This window comes from Homo sapiens, chromosome 6, assembly GCF_000001405.40.
Source record: "Homo sapiens chromosome 6, GRCh38.p14 Primary Assembly".
In the NCBI taxonomy this organism is placed as follows: Eukaryota; Metazoa; Chordata; class Mammalia; order Primates; family Hominidae; genus Homo; species Homo sapiens.
The window spans coordinates 104,458,724-104,476,531 of NC_000006.12; the positions used below are offsets into that span (position 1 = coordinate 104,458,724).

The 17,808-nt window shown below is 39.5% G+C and overlaps 1 long non-coding RNA gene across 2 annotated transcripts in view, besides 2 other annotated features; it reads right to left on the reverse strand.

The window, feature by feature from the left end:
• LOC105377918 (uncharacterized) overlaps window positions 4,117-17,808 on the reverse strand; it is a 64,633-nt gene continuing 50,941 nt past the window's right edge. Inside the window, exon 5 of one of the 2 annotated variants that reach the window (XR_001744272.2) lies at window positions 4,117-4,400. This is a non-coding gene — a long non-coding RNA (uncharacterized LOC105377918). Of the gene's footprint in view, window positions 4,401-13,209; window positions 14,064-17,808 lie in introns of those variants that run through there. The other variant, XR_001744273.2, reaches the window with a different exon arrangement.
• Window positions 4,198-4,398: a silencer, noted in NCBI's record as "peak5987 fragment used in MPRA reporter construct". NCBI's record gives its function as "represses an SCP1 promoter by STARR-seq MPRAs in K562 erythroleukemia cells {active_cell/tissue: K562}" and the evidence as "EXISTENCE:reporter gene assay evidence [ECO:0000049][PMID:32103011]".
• Window positions 13,313-13,886: an enhancer, noted in NCBI's record as "NANOG-H3K27ac-H3K4me1 hESC enhancer chr6:104919911-104920484 (GRCh37/hg19 assembly coordinates)". NCBI's record gives its function as "activates a minimal SCP1, AML or CMV promoter by ChIP-STARR-seq in naive H9 embryonic stem cells {active_cell/tissue: H9 hESC(naive)}" and the evidence as "EXISTENCE:reporter gene assay evidence [ECO:0000049][PMID:30033119]".

Consider the following 17,808-nt stretch of genomic DNA (forward strand, 5'->3'; position numbering starts at 1 on the left):
TCTCTTCTGTCCTTAATGTAAGCTAGGAATATACTGGATTTGTTTTTTCACAACAGCTCACCAATGATGACTATAACTTGTACTTACACTCACAAATCTATTATTTGACTTTTTAATCTAGTAAATCTAAAAAGAGTCAAACACATTCATATATCTGAACATACTTTTTGGTCGATTATAGCAGCCAATTCTTTTTGTATCATGCTCATTCCTAGCCAGGCATCCTGCATTTTTATTTTTGCTTTTTATCCTTGAGTCTATTAACTTCTGCTTATTTTTTTAAGCCAATGTCGTTCAATCCTTGTAGGAACATTTTTTTCCATGATCAACATAAATCATTAAAGTGTTTCTTCTTTCTTTATTTCTTTCTGAACAAAGCTTCCCCTTACAAGCAATTTATTAGCATGTTATCATTAACTTCGTAAATGACTGATGTGGTTAAAAACTCTGCGCCTGGCTTCAAGGTAATTTCTATATTAATAAACCCAAATCTCAACTCCACTTGAGGGCAGAGATTCCTTTCAAGTCAAATTTATTTTATACATAAGAATCTCATTCTCATCAATTTTGTATTTAGAACATTCTCCTCCAAAAGGAGAAAAAAAACTGAATATCTTAATTTGTGATGTAGCTTCAAGATATTCCGAAGTACTTTGCTAAACAGCTTGTCTATATTTCCTATTTAAATAGAATGTATTTTATAAACAATGCAAAAACATCAGTTTGGTGAACTCAAAACCATCTATCAAACAAATAACTTACCACAATCTAGGGCAAGAGGTCATCTGTCTGCTTGTTTTGTGTTGGGTTGGCATTTATGTGTTCTGACATATGACCAGAACCTAAACTGCTTTTCCCCTTTTTGCTCTATTTTTTATTTAATAATTACATATGAAATAGAAGCTTATTTTCAGAAAGGAAATGGACTCAGCGAAGTCACTTTATATTACAGTGTGGTTCTCCATTTAAAGCTGCACTCCCACCTTTACCTTGTTTGTATTTTCACTTTTCCTTTTCCATTCTCAGTTTCAGTTGTCATGATTTTCTTTTCAAGCCATTGCAGATAGTTCAAGTAGTGTTCATAGTTAAATTCACAGGTGAGTTTTCAAGTTCCATTTACATATCCTCTAACACAATACACCATCACACTTTTCTTGCAAGAAAGCTAAAGTCAACTGCATACCATTTCTCTGCTTTGAAGAGAAGAAATTTTTTACATAATGAAAAAAGAGGTTAATATCCCCTTACCAGCTAAAAGTCCATTGAAAGATATAGTCTCCTGACAAGTGTAAGGCTGGACACAGGTATAACTTGGGGAAAGAGATCATTTGCCAAAAACTGCTTATGAAACAGCAGGGACATTTCTCCATTCAGTGCTTAACCATTTAACAAATGTGTTATGAAATGTCAACTATCTAATTGTTCCAAGGACTTTTCCTAATGTTTTGAAGGATTTTAAAATATTGTCTGTATGTTATTAAGATATAGTTTTATCTTTCTGCTAATTCCTTTACTTTCACAGTCTGAGGCATTCACTAACAATATCCTCAAAGGAGATAATTCAGTCAGTCAAGAGATACTTAGCTGCATTTAGAAAAAGTCACAATGCAAGTGCAACTATATATATTCTTATTATATATAAACTCAGCATTTACCCAGAAGAGACTAGAGAAAATACAACAATTGATTTTATATACACTACTTGATTGACTGGCAGAAGGCAGTCCTCATGTCTACTTCTTCAGAAGAACTGTTAAAGTTTTCATGTATTCTACATACAGTAAAATTAAAACAATATCATATTTGACTGTGCAAAGCATACATTTTAAGACAAAAAATGCACATAATTTTAGAAAAATAAGCAGAAACATCACTTCTTTCTCTGTGTGCCTTTGAAAGAACCTTGAACCAGACCATCTGTACTCCACAATGAAACTCAACAGGCAGCCACTGAGCTTCTTCTCCATAGGTATGAAATGAGAAACACAGAATGTTATTGAACATTTTCTCAGTGGAACAGCACACACATATTTAGTACAAGGGGTTCTGCCACTGAGACACACTGAGGGAATTCAGAGTGTTCAATGACTTCAACTTCCCACCCCATGGCACAGTGTCACTCATGCTGCTGCACTTAGCTCTGCATGTTCCATAAAACAAGAAAAAGCACTTTTAAAAAACCAGCAAAATGATAATGATTGGGGCTGAGTCGCTTCACTCTCAGACATGTGAAAAAACAAACAGAAACTATCACTTTCAGATGCTTGTCTACATACTGTCTGTTCTTTGCTCTGAGTCTCCAAAATTAGAGCAAGAAACACAAAAAAATTATCCAAATAATGTCCATTATAAATATGTTTGCCTTCACATTGTAGTTTTATAGCATTGAATATTTCTGTTGGCAGTTATATTAAACGTTCCCTATATTCCAGGCTACCACTTATTTTATCTGTTTATTTTAGCTAGAGCAAGTTCAGGCCTACAATAGCACACTCAGCATTTTGGCTCTATATCATTTGCAAACAAGATGCAAACCTGGCAGCTTAGGGCTTGACATTTTGCATACATGCAACAGTACCTCCTCTTAGCATCATCATATGTCTGGCATGATCTTATATTTCCACTGGTCTCAGACTGCAAACAACAGGAGGGAAAAACCCAGCAGAAAAGAGGAAGACAATACAAGATGACTTGGAAGTCATTTTGCTCCATCTTCACCATGGGAGTTAATTGTAAAGAAACATTTTTCTAAAGGGTGCCATCAGTAGGTCTACAACTACAGGAACGAATTACATAGTAGAGTATTTTGCAAGCATTACTTAGAAATAACTGTTCAGCATAGCAGCCATAACTACTGGCACATAATTTGATACTTATAAGAATGTATTGCTGCATCTAGGTAACAAATGATTTCAAAAATGTTTCATGTGAAAACCTAGCCATTTCACTACAAAAGAAAACAATTCTAAAAGAAAGTAAAAAATCAAAGTTCATTGTAACCTCAAGTTAAATCAATGTAATTAATGTATCTCTGCCTTGTCTGGTAAAACTCCCTGTTTTCTATGGTTCCTGGAACTTTTGCTCTTATATTTCCATTATTCTTTATTTTACAATGTACATTTATGCTTGTACATAGAATAGCAAAATCCAAAATCACATAATCCATATGATCTCTATAGTCCCTTTTCTAGTACCATTGAATAACTTTCCAAATAGGGAGGCCTTTGTGTGTATGTTTATGTTCATATGGGTGAGAGTCTATACAAAATTCCTATGGCCTAGCTGATTAGAGCATATTGTCTACAGGTTTGGGTAACATAAGATCAAGGTAGCAGATCTGAATGCCTGGTAAGCCACTTAGCTTGAAGCTGTTTCATGACCACATGCTTCAGACTTTAGTCTAGCTCACCATATAACAAATACTAGTTATTGATTATAAAGGACTATGCAAAATAAAGACTTCAGACATATACAGTAGTAGCTCTCGGCAGTCAAAGTAGTGTAGATGCTATCAATAGGCTGGCCATGGCAAAAAATGGCATAAGTAATGCTTACTATAATATCTCATAATATCTGCAATTTTAAATAGTAACCAACCATAAACTACTGAGATGCCCATCACAGGAAGCATTCATTTCTTAGCCAAAATTACTGTTGTTAAGACTATTTTTTCCCCCGGGGTAGTGGGTAAGACTCAGTCACCTCTATGTTGTGTAACACTTAAAGTCTAAGGTTTCACTGATTTCATTTTTTTTTTTTTTTTGAGAAGGAGTCTTGCTCTGTCACCCAGGCTGGAGTGCAGTGGCACAATCTCCGCTCACTGCAAGCTCCGCTTCCCGGGCTCACACCATTCTCCTGCCTCAGCCTCCGGAGTAACTGGGACTACAGGTGCCGCCACCACGCCCGGATAATTTTTTGTATTTTTAGTGGAGACGGAGTTTCACCGTGTTAGCCAGGATGTTCTCGATCTCCTGACCTCGTGATCCACCCGCCTCGGCCTCCCAAAGTGCTGGGCCTTATTTTAACAGACACCAATGTGATCAGAAAAAGTATAACATGTGCTGAAAACTGTTTATTGTGTGGACATTGTGTGGGAACCAATAAAAGACAAAGAGCTATAGAATAAATCATTTTTATTTAATTTTATTTACTTTTAAAGTTAGACTCGTATTCATTCTGGTCTCTCTGAGTTGTTTGCTCCCACCTGTTTGGTCTCACTTTTCTCTCTGTATCTCAGGAGCCAGAACTACAAGCTTCAGAAGTCAGTTCAGATGGTTATCTGCAATTTCTCTTTGTAGTGCTATTCGAGGTCAAATCCATTACAGCATATGTTCAGACTGACTTTGCACACTTAACTCCACTGGGCTTTCAGTGACATACTTGGCGCTTCACCTGAGAACCTGTTATCCATAGATACATGAGATGTTAAAAGTGATACATACAAAAAAAGAAAGAAAGAAAAACTGATTCATGCCTACATAGTACATTTATGGCTGACTAATCTATAGCTCTTAAAATGATCTAATAAACACCATGCCACCTTTTTTAAAGATTAAAATCATTTTGCCACTAAATGGTGCTATTATGTTCCCAAGCCACCTTAGATTCCAGTCAGAGATGCATGAAGTGTTGGCTCCACAGACTTCCCGGGGAGGACAGCAACATAATCTTGTCATTGCGTAATTTGCCACTCACTAAGGAAATGTGTGTCAGGAAACAAAGTGCACCAAACATTGGCAACTGATTCAGAAATAGCAAACACTGAGAAATCTTCTTTTCCCTTAAGGAATACGATAGAGTGAGCTTTGCAACTGTGCCCCTCAGATTTCATCAATGTGGATTCTCTTGGAGGATTTATTGTTCCAAAAATACAACCTAATATGATTTTCTGTACTGATAATTAATTAAAGCAGAGGAGCCTCGGCGATGATAATACACAAATAGATGGAATGTATTTGCCTTTCCTTTAATGTGTCTTTTATTGCTTCTTAGGAAACTCCCCCTCAAAATATTATATAGACAACAAAGGTAAAAATATTTAAATTGTTGCCTTTATTTTATTTTATTTTATTTTTTGAGATGGAGTCTCGCTCTGTCACCCAGGCTGGAGTGTAGTGGCACGATCTTGGCTCACTGTAACTTCTGCCTCCCAGGTTCAAGCAATTCTCCTGCTTCAGCCTCCCAAGTAGCTGGGATTAAAGGTGCGTGCCACCACGCCTAGATAAGTTTTTGTATTTTTAGTAGAGACGGGGTTTCACCATGTTAGCCAGGATGGTCTCAATCTCCTGACCTCGTCATCCAACCACCTCAGCCTCCCAAAGTGCTGGGATTATAGGCATGAGCCACTGCGCCCAGCCAAATTGTTGACATTATAAGGAATAGTAAATGACATTTTGTGCTTTCATTTAAAAAAAAAAAAAAGTTCATCCAAGTTTTTTTATTTAAAAAAAAGTTCACAGTTAAGAAAACAAGGCCGGGCGCGGTGGCTCACGCCTGTAATCCCAGCACTTTGGGAGGCCGAGGCGGGTGGATCATGAGGTCAGGAGATCGAGACCATCCTGGCTAACAAGGTGAAACCCCGTCTCTACTAAAAATACAAAAAATTAGCCGGGCGCGGTGGCGGGCGCCTGTAGTCCCAGCTACTCGGGAGGCTGAGGCAGGAGAATGGCGTGAACCCGGGAAGCGGAGCTTGCAGTGAGCCGAGATTGCGCCACTGCAGTCCGCAGTCCGGCCTGGGCGACAGAGCGAGACTCCGTCTCAAAAAAAAAAAAAAAAAAAAAAAGAAAACAAAGCAGGCCAGGTACGGTGGCTCACGCCTGTATCCCAGCACTTTGAGAGGCTGAGGCAGGAGGACTGCTTGAGCTCAGGAGTTCAAGACCAGCCTGGGAACATGGTGAAACCCTGTCTCTACAAAAACAATACAAAAATTAGCTGTACATGATGGCATGCACCTGTAGTCTCAGCTACTTGGGAAGCTGAGGTGGGAGGATTGCTTGACCCCAGGAGGTGGTGGTTGCAGTGAGCCGAGATCGCGCCACTGTATCCCAGCCTGGGCAAAAGAGTGAGAAGCTGTTAAAATTAAAAAAACAGAGAAAAATTTAAAAAGTAAAGCATTCACCCAGCATAGCTTCAGTGGTGTTTTTGCCAAAAAAAAAAAAAAAAAAAAACACACAAAAAAAACAGTGCTTAGGAGCCAAGCGCTCTCCTTAGGAGTGAGACACAGCCTACAGCCAGCCTGAGAATGTCTTGACATGGCCTCAAAAGCACCTGGGCCATTGCCCCAACCACTCTCTTCTCTTCCCCTCTGCAACCTCACACACACACAGATGCCAACCATAAGCAGCTACTTTCCAGGTCCTCTCAACAGCTCTAACTCACAGATTTGAGAATAAGTGAGGAAAGGGGAGATCTAGTTGATATATTTTATGCATGTTTTCTCTGTTAAAATCCTATGCAGAGAATTTTTAAATATCCAGTTTTTAACTTCAGAGAAGTAAAATTCTAAAAGCACAAAACAAGCTGCCACCCATTCTTCCAAGAACCAGTTTATTAATTTCCGTATTCATCTCTCAAGCTCAGAATTTTCATATCTCCTTTAACCTTATAATTTCTGACCACTTCTTACCCAACACTCCATCCCAAAATATTCTGTCCAAACCTTGTTTTGTCCTTTCTATTTCTTCCTTTGTACTTCTAGCATCAATTTTGTTCCTTTCAAACCATTCTAGTACAGGCCCTTGTCACCTAATAGTTGATTTCTGAAGCGTTTTAAGGTTGTTTCACCATTTAAGTTAAGAACTATGAATGGTCTGAGAAATTAGCCTATTTGCAAGTTAACAAGTTGGTTTGCCACAGTTTCATAAATACTAGAAGATACAAAACTCCTAGGTCAGAGACAAAGTATTTTGTTACTTATAGCAATAGCAGTAAGTACCTGAAGTGTGACCACTCACACCACTTCCCCAAGCCTCAGTTTCCACAGGGCAATGTAAAAGGGTCAGGTGACTCCTATACACACATACAGTAGGTAACACTATAGGAGAGGAACCCTGTATTCAGGCAAACTGAATCTTTTATAATGGACAGTAAGCCTGCTCATACTTGGCTCTAGATGGACACATTATCTCATGATGCCAAACTATAAATAAACCTGCCTTTTGCTTCAGAAGGAGACATGATCTCTATCTTTCAAAGCTATTTTCTATGCAAATATCCATGAAAAATGTGGTCCAGAACAAATGCAGTCAGTGGCCCTGCTGTCAAGATGTACAGAAATGCAAGAAACCCAGGAAGAATTGTCTCCCAAAACTTTAGCCTTGGGAAGACTATTTAACCTCTCTAAATTTAAGTTGCCTCATCTGTAAAATGTGATTGATAATACGTACTTCACTGGATTGTTGTCAAGATTAAATTCAATAATGTATGTCAAAAAATGTTTTAGCTCATTGCCTGACCCAAAGTATGCAATAAACAAATTTATGTTTAATGATTACTGTATTATTCAAGGTCTGCCCCTTCTTACCTAGTCTAGGCTGAGCATCTAAACTTACTTTCCAATTATTTCTCATCCACATACTGCAGTTTGTGTTCAATGGCCTATTCACTTCCCATTAAAGAGGATAGGTGCATTTCCATCTCTACAACTTTGTACCTCTTCTCCATCTAAAATCCCTCCCCACTTTTTGCCTTCATTCCAACTACTTTTCATAGCCAGTTAAAGCTCTGCCAATTCTTCAAAATTCCCCCAAGTCACTGCAGAATGCAAAGAACTTCCCTTCTGGCAACTTACTACATTTGCATATACCCCTCAATAAATGCCAGTTTCCCTTCCCTTTATTATATTTGCATATTGATGGATTTAATTTCTCTCAGCTGATCTCTCACTTGGCTTCTTTTTAACATTTCCATGTGGCTTTCTTGCTTCCAAAGTAAAAGTCAATTATATGTACAAAATAAATTACATAGCAATGTAGTACCATGATACAATTGTCAGCAAGAACCCTTCTTTTTCTCCAAGGTGATTAAGGAAACCTTTATTTACTTATTTATTTTAATTTACCAACCAAGTTTTACACCTTCAATCCTCCAAACAGTCCCCCTAAATTTTTTAATCTTGAAAATAACTGTTTCATAGTAAAAGAACCTGTACTTATAAGTTCAGCTATAACTCCCTGAGCAAAACTCAAGTTAAGTAGAAACTGGAAGTTAATATACTCTTTCTGGGAAAGTGATCTAAGTTGAATTGAATTGAAAATTCAGTACAGGTGTCTACCTGTCACCAGAAATGGCCATCATCCCTGATGTTCTGGGTTACAAAACCTTAGTAAAGGGAACAGGATGAATTAAGCTGTTATTTGAAATGGCATGAGTCACTCCTACAGGCAATCTCATAGCGAATACAGGTCACATCCCAGGGTAAGTTATCCGGGGAAACATGTGTGTCTCAGGTCTGGAGCAGTTTTCCAGCCATGTCCAATAAAACCAAGTATAATTCCAACCCTAGAGTCAGGGAGCCAGGGTAGGCAGCATGGCCTCAAGAGAGAGCTGAGGGTGGCATGTGCATGACAGCACAGAGCTGTATACGAGCTCTTGACTGACATCTCAGAGGGAAACTCAGTTTTGATCTGAGCCCATTTCCAAGTATTATTTTAAAGAATAACTTTTTAATATAATACAACATAGCACATACTATCAACAGATTAACTACATCAGTTAAGATGCTGATGCTTTCAGGAAGACAAGGAAACATCCTTCTAGAGCAGTGTTGTTTAATAGAATTCTCTGTGATGTCAATGTTCCCTATCAGGGCTTTCAAGTATGACAGCCACTAGCTACATATGGCTATTGTGCACTTGAAATGTAGCTAGCACATACCAGAAAGCCACTCTTTAAATTTTATTTAATTTTAATTAATTTAGGAAGCCACATGTGACTAGTGACTCTTGTGTTAGATGACATAGCTCTAAAACCTACCATGCAGCTGTCTGTACTGTCATGAGCACTGTCTCATGTAGCCCTCATACTAACCCTGCAAGCTAGGTGTTATGTTTATTTTTACAGACAATGAACAGAGACTGTGCTAGTTCTAATCATTAGCACAATATTATATAATGAGTAAGTGGCAGAGCTAGAATTCTATCAGGTTTTTCTAACCACAAAGTTCAAGTATTTCTTTTTTTTCATTTACCCCACCTTAGCTTCTCAGAATCAAATTCAAATTCTCTAACGTGTCACAAAGATGTTTTATACTATAATCCCAACCTATGCTTCCAGCCTCACCTCCACCACCATCCCCTCTACTTCCTCTATTTCAAAAATACATTTGCTCTCCAAACCCTGATGCATTTTCCTAACTCCCTGACTTTGAATTCATGGTGTTCATAGGCTTGAAAGGCCCTCCGTCTACTTCTCATCTCTCCATGCCTGGTAAGCTCCTGTATTGTGTGCTGATTATCTGTGTATGTGTCCATTTGCTTGTCTAGAATGTGAGCTGAAGGAATAGAGTCTTACTCAGCTTGTGCTCCCAGGATGTAGTATAGTACACAGTAGATACTCCAGAAGTATTCAGTAAAAAACAAATAAAGGGGAAATGAAGATGTGACATCATTAAATTCATCACACATTCAGAAAGCCTTACAGGGCTTGTCTTATTCTGGCCCTGAGAATTGTGTAGACAATGAGTATATTTAAAAAGCAAGATCTATTCCCCAATATGTTGAAAGACTTGCTTTACAATTTTGTGAGGAGAAAATGTATACATGACCAAGGCTGGCAACGAAGACCACCAGCGCTCACACCTAGGTTAAAGGAAAGCAGGATCACAGGGCTGCTGAGGATCAGCTACACTGGAGAAGCCGGCACTTTACACCTAAGCCCTAGGCGATCGGACAATGCACGGGTTGCCCAATGGGGGCCATAAGCATGCCTTCCCAACTGCAAGACTTGAATGTGTTAAACCATGAAGGAGGAGTCCTCAACCTATGGGGAGCACCCAGTTGGGATGAAAGGTAGTTTCATTCATCCATGGGGATACATGGCCAGTACAACTGCTTCCCGGAATGGATGTTCACCTTGACTGGACCAGCCAGCTGTGTGTTCCTGTCTGAGAAAACCTAGGAACTGGCTCCTGATTCAGCATATGTATTGCAGGTGGGCTGATTTACAAACACATTGCTATCCTGGAAAACAGGTAACCTTCAAACCTCTCTCCTTTCACCAACACACATGCACCTATATAAACATAACAAGACACCCTTGAGCTGCCACCACGATACAAAAGCTGAGTCACAGACAGGAATCAACAGATTTGGGTGGAAATTTTCCATATTTTCTTTGTTGTAGTTCAAATTTTCATGGAAAGCTTGGCCCACCTCTGAAAGTCTTAGAACAGCCTTAGATCAATGATTCTCTACCCTGGCTTGACATGATAATGACCTGAGGAATTTTTAAAATATACTTATGCCTGAGTCTCACCTTCGGAACTTCTGGTTCAACTGCTCTATGAGGAGGCCAAGGCACTAAGATTTTACAGATGCTGTCCTGTGACTACAACGTGCATCCGTGGTTGTGATCAAGAGGCCTAGCTCATGAGACCAGTAGCTTAATCACCAAAGCTACCCTAGAGAGAAGGGTAGTGTCAACGTCAGCACTGCAGTTGACTGTAGGAGCAGCCAACAGAGGGTGGTGAGGAAACTGCACGAAACAAAAGCAACAGTGAATTTCAGAAGAAAAATATTAGCCTATGGCTCAAGTATGCAGCACATTCTTAAATCAACTCATTTGCCTCCTAAACTACCTGTGACTTGGGGTATGTTTATTTTACAACATTGTGTGATTCCTGCTACTGTGACTTGTGTTATATTTCAATTCAACAAACAGTAATGGAATGTTTATAATGTGCATTCATTCTCTGGGCCAGAGAAGAACAATATTAGAAAATAACATTGAGAACCTAAGAGCCTAACAGGGGAAATGTGATGTGTTGCTTGCTGAAATAAATACAGTAGGTCCTCACCTAACATTGTGAATAGGTTCTTGGAAACTGCAACTTTAAGCAAAATGGTGTATAACAAAACCAATTTACCAATAGACTAATAGATATAAACAAGAATTAAGTTCCTATGGCATTATTTCTGGTCCCACAAATATCATCAAACTTCCAAATAAAGATCAAAAACACTTCTAATATCAAACATGGACATAAATGTGAGCTATACATACATTTTTAAAAGACTAATAAAAACAAGTAAAATAATTATTTATCTAATTATTCCAGTTTGCATTGTGGGTAGCCAGAGCCTATTCTGGCAGCTCAGGGTGCCAGGCAGGAACCCACACTGGAAAGGATGCCATCCCATTGCAGGGCACAACTACACACACACACACACACTCTCACCCAGACTGGCACCATGTAGACACACGAATTAACCAAAGATGCAAAGCTTTGGGATATGGGAGGAAACCAGAGGACCCGGAGAAAACCCACACAGACGTGGGGAGAATGTGCAAACTGCACACAGACCATGTTCCTGGCCGGAAATTGATTGTTTTCTCTCAACATTTTAATGAAACAACATTAAACAAAACGACATTATTTGAAGACCTGCTGGATAGGTATAAATGTGTTATGGGAGTTCCAAGTACAAAGGAGGGAGTGAATTAAATTAACTCTCTCACTCAGCTTAAGTCAAAGGCCTTATGATTGTCTGCCAAACCCTGAATCAGCCACTCCACTACCTGTCTGACTTTGGTTCCTGCTACACTCCCATTATTTGCCTCAATCCAGGTGTCCTCCTGGCAGTTACTGGGACACTTCGGCATGCTCCCAACCTAGGTCCTTTGCTCAGGCAGTTCCATGCCTTGAATGCCCTTCTCACAGCCACATGGCAACTTCCACACTGACTTCAAGTCTTTTCCCAAATGCTGTCATCTCAATGAGGCCTACCCTGCTGACATTATTTAAAAATGAAACCAGCCATGCAAAGTGGTGGCTCAGGCCTGTAATCCCAGCACCTTGGGAAGGCAAGGCAGAAGAATCACTGGCAGCCAGGAGTTCAAGACCAGCCTGGGCAATGTAGCGAGATCCCGTCTCTATAAAAGAAAATTAAAATTAGCAGGGCATAGTGGCACACACCTGTAGTCCCAGCTGCTTGGGAGGCTGAAGTGGGAGGATTGCTTGAGCCCAGGAGATCAAGGCTGCAGTGAGCTATGATGGTGCCACTGCACTCCAGCCTGGGTGACAGAGCAAGACCTTGCCTCTAAAATAAGAAATAAATAAAATAATATTGAGGCCTATCTGTACCCAAATTCTACCCCTAGTACCCCAATCTCATTTCTTCTGCTTCATTGTTTTTATTGCATGTGTCCCATTCCAGCACACTACTCAAATTACTTATTATGCTTATTATTATCTGACTGCTTGAACTAGAATGTAAGCTCCACAACTGTATGAATCGTAATGACCATTCACAAATCTCAAGAGCCTGAAATGATGCCTAGCAGATGCTAAGAATTCAACAAATTATGTTGAATTAATGAATGAGGAATTTAGCAAAACTTTCATTTAAGAGTAATGTGCTTCCTTTTCCTTTTAGTAGAATCTAATTTGCAATCCTGTAGCCAGTGTCTTTATGAGTTGGGACAGATTATAATAGCCCACTGGACCTATGGTGGAGAGATTTTTTTCCCCTGACTCCTGTGTGAGCAGTGTCAATTATCCATCCATTCAATCAACAAATATTTATTCAGCAACTATTTTCTGCTACATGCAGGGGACTGTGAGCATCCAAAATTCTGACCTCTAAGGACTTAAAGCTCGGTAAAAGAGGTGAGGTTGACACACAAATTTGTGCAATAAGAGGCAGGACATTCTGAGCCCTGAGAGGAGTGCAGACAGCAGCGTGATTTGGGAGTCCTCAGATAGTACTTTAAGTATGACACCCAGGACAAAAACTTCAGCCATTCTTGCTGTGGGCAGCAAAGACACAGGATGACACTAATCAGTTCATTTACCAAAGATGGGGTTTCTAATTTTGGCCTCCTATAACCTGCTCCCCTTCATGAGATGCCTGCCAAGGGAGTTGAGAGATGTCATTGTGCTTTCTAAGCACACTTGAACTGACTTTTGATAACCTTTACCTACCAAATCAGGCATGAAAACCACTGAACAATGGTTAAAACACTGTTTATTTTCCTTTTTTCCCCCTGGCTTTAAGGCTTCTGGCTATTTGTTCTAAACTATATACAGTACAGTATGTTTCACGAGAAGGCTGCAGAGCCGCACTCAACCACAGCTTAGCAATTGGGCTATTCTTTTAAAGCTTATGCAAGTCCTTACTGTAAATGCGTAAATGTAAAATAGCTTGGATCAAAACGCATCGTTGTTTTGACATGAAGGTGAGCGAATGATTTGTTCCTAGGAATAGAAGCCCTCAGACAAACAGTGTTAATGGGCCTCACCACAGAGCAGTTGGTGACAATAACAGAGTTAATTTTAAAGAAGGGGAAATTAAATAGTGGTTGCAATAGTCCTAGCCACTCTTAATTATTGTGATGGCAAATTATGAACAATTGCCTGTCACTTTCCCTTCTAAAGCAATTATTGATGTTTGCCTTATGGCTGAACTGTGCTGAAAACTCTCTAAGCAGGAGGCTGTCTGATTCAATGCTTTGTGGGCTCATATTCAGAACGCCATTTGGCCTGCAAAGTTGCTGGATTATCTGTAAACACAGTGAAAGGAGACAGTGATTGCATGAAGCAGAGGGAATGCACCTGAATGCCAATAAGGCAAATGTCATGACAGGAACACAAAGCCAGCATTCCATGTGACCTTTTAGATAGAAACCAATTTAGTTTGGTACCATCTCAAACAGAAAATTATGGTGTAATTCCTCATGTCAATACATAATTTATTTTGTAATAAATAACTACCCGCATATTTATGGAGCGCCTCTCCCCTCGTGTTTATGATGCTCTCAGGCACTGTCTCTCCAGCACACACTGCCGAATCATTGCAGAGCTTTCTGTTTTTCAGGCTGTTCTCTTCACTAAAGCTTGGTGATGACTGAAGAAAACATTAGAGGATTAAAAGCCACTTTCTATCTCTGCAAAAAAACCTAAGTTGTTTATTTTCTTATTTCCAAATTACCTAACATCAGGCTGAAGGATTCATGAGATCAAGTTTAAAAAAAAGAAATCAACGAAAAGCAATATTAAGCCCTAGTCTACAGTACATTTCCTAATAAAGGAAAGCTTCTGCCTTTAAAGTAGCATTAGCATCGGGCAGTGAATCAACAAAGGAAGAGAGCTCTGTCTTTCCCCCAGTTCTCCTCCCCTTAAATGCATCTGCTTCTTTGTGGGAGGTCTGAAGACAGGGGCTGCCTCCCAAAGTCACCTCACTCTCTATCATTAGGATGCAAATAGGGCAAGTCTTGAGAAGCTCTACCTTTTCCCCTCCAGGTCAGAGCTCCGAGTCTCCCCCAACCTGGCACTGACAGGGGACTCTTCCCACTGACAGCTGGTCACCGACCTAGCTGAAAGCCGTCGGGGGTCTTCCCTGAGCCTTGAGCCACAGGTGACCTCATCACTAACTGAGCCATCACAGTGCACAGTTAGCATTTTCAGTCCATGGCCTCTGTCAAGGACAAATGAGACCTGAGCTCTCATTGGAAGTGTGGTGGAGACAGCAGGGAGTGGGAAGAGGCCTGGGGGCACTGCGGGCACTCCCTATCACTGATTAGCCAGCATCAGATTCTTGGATAACTGAAGAGATTTGGGACCTTAGTGGCTAAGGCCCAGCATCTTTAACAAGTTTCAGAAAAATGGAAGAGGAGGATAATTTACAAGACAGAAAATAAAGAATAGCATATATGCTGCTTAGAACAGACTGTATTTGCATTTTTTTAGCTTCTAAATACCTATTTTGAGATCATTTTGGTATTAAGGATTACAAACATTTGTCTGTAATGTGGTTTCTGTCTCTGGCTAACTTCTGTAGTTTAATAACACAAAGAAATGACAAAGTTAATATGAGACACCACAATCATTCCTTTGAAAATTATCCACCATGCCACACAAATAGACACACACACACACACACACACACCCCAAACCAAACCAAATAAACACATTTCTTTGGCTTCACGGATGAAGCGATAGCCCGTAATGTGGAAAAAATAAGGGCTCTGGCTCAAATACAACATATTGAGAAGTAGAAATCAATACCCAGAGAAGATTTTACATAGCACTCGTATTATTTTTAATGAGTTGCTGTATAGAACTACCATGACAGAATAGAGTCCAGGATTTTCTGAGGACTAATTGGCTTCATTCCTCCAGCATGCCAACAGAGTACTTTCTGTTCTGTTTGGAAAACATATGCTGGGATCTGGATCAATGAATTGAGAAAATATTGGCCACCTAATGGGTGTCCAGAAGGAAGACCTCTGCTGCATGTTTAGGGGAAATCTTTTCTGAGAACATGGTCATCTCCATGTCACACTCACTTTGTCCAAATAGATACTGAAAACAAACTTCTGAAATCATCTTCAGGGGGCTCAACTTATCTAGGGTCAATAGTCTGAATCTCTGAGATTGTTTTGTCAAATTAAGAACCAATCAAGATGTTTATATCTTTGAAATAAAAGCTTTGTAAAACCATTGTCACATCATATGGACAAAAATGCATCTATGTGTTTTTTTCTTGCAGAATTTTATGTGTAATAAGATTTATGTGACACAGCATTTGAATGTAATACTATGGTTTAAAGAAATAAGTAAATTTAGCACTGGAGAATAATAAGATAAAACCAAATCTTTAAAATTTCATATTATTTAATAAAGAGTTATTTTTGGAAGAACTGTGGCTGAATATTCTTCATCATTATTGAAGATAGAATTAGTAGAATTGGCTTACAATAACACATGAGGAATTTAGGTAATTGTGTATAGATAAGTCACCTCAAAGATCATCTAATTCAGAACTGGGGAAAATACATGTTTTGGTGACATCTTTAAGCTGCTGGGTCAAACCTCCCTTTCTACCTCTAGACATTCCACTTATGCATCAATAAATTCCCTTGTTATTCAGAAATAAAATCATCTGGTTCAACTGTCAAACACATACAAGTGAAGAAACTGTGGCACAGAAAGGCTAGGACTAACACAAAAGTATGCTACCAAACCAGCTTAAAACAATAAACATTTGTTATCTCACTGTGTCTGTGGGTTGGGAATAGGGGCACAACTTGACTTGGTACCTCTGGCTCAAGGTGTCTCATGAGGTTGCAGTTCCAGCTAAGTTGTCAGCCAGGGCTGCAACTTCACTTGAAGGCTCAACCCTTTGGGCAAGTGAGGGATGGAGAAGAGAGGAGAAATCCACTTCCAAACTCATTCCTGGGGTTGTGGGCAGACCTTGATTCCTCCCCACATGGATCTCTCTACATGCTGCCTCACAAAATGGCAGCTGGCTTCCCCTAGAGGAAGCAATCCAAGAGAGGGCAAAGAGAATTCTCAAGATGGGAACCACAGTCTTTACAGAACCCAATATTGTAAATAACATTCCTGTACTTTATCCATATTCTCTTCATTGGAAACAAATCACGAGGTCCAGCCCACACTCAATGGGAAGGGATTACACACAGGCATGAGTATGAGGAGGTGGGGGAATGGGGACCATCTTAGAGGCTGCCTTCCACAACTATGATCACAACCCACATCTTATCCCAAACCCACTGTTCTTTCCACTACACTTTGCTGAATTGAAATGGATAATTTCCAGACATTAAAGGTTAGTAAACACTGGACAGGGTATTTGAGAAAATTGTAGGGTCTCCATCTCAGAATATCTTTTATAATAAGACCTTCTTTTACCTACTGGAGAAGGTTGAATTTGAATGTCTCTAGCAGATAAGAAGAAGTGCAGTGTATACTGTGTGGTATACACTGGGGTTTAAGAAGCTGTCCACCCGCGTTATTAACTAGGTGAAGAACTCATTTTGTTTTCAAGGCTTACTTTCCTTACCATGAAAAGTCAGAATGGGATTAAGTTTCTAGTATGTTTCCAATTTTGTTACAGCTTTAAAACAATAACTTTTATATCTGGTCTTCAGGTTTGACCCTACATATAAGTAAATTAAGTGATGATCCCCAGGATTTGACAGTGAGAGAAAAAAATGTTCTGCACCAAAATATTTCTCTCTCTGGCTTAAATTTCTACATTAGATGTTCTTTTCTATTTGTTATTAAAAGCCTCTGCTAAAATGCAAATGTGTTATCTGGAATAACATATTAAACTATCATCCCAAATTAATATTTAACTGAATTTGTTTCTCTTGTTAACTAACATATCAGCTGGTAGGGATCCAGGGAATGGGGCAAATAAACAAGTAAATTTTAATGAGAATGGATTTTTCCAAGAGGATTTTAGGGCAAGAAAGGACAGATTCATATGGAATGGGGAATGAGGGGTGACCAGTAGCCCCAACAGTAAAATATTAGGGAACATGGGATAGTTAAGAAAAACCTAGAGGACATAAAACTGCCAATATAAGCAAACTTCTTTTTTTTTTTTTTTTTTTGAGACAGGGTCTCGCTCTGTCACCCAGTCTAGAGTGCAGTGGCACAATCATGGATCATGGCTCACTGCAGCCTCAACCTCCTGGGCTCAAGCAATCCTCCCACCTCAGCCTCCTGAGTAGCTGGGTCTATAGGCATGCACTACCACACCTGGCTAATTTGTGTGTGGGTGTGTGTTGTTTTTTTTTTTTAAGACAAGTTCTTGCTATATTGTCCAGCATGGCCTTGAACTC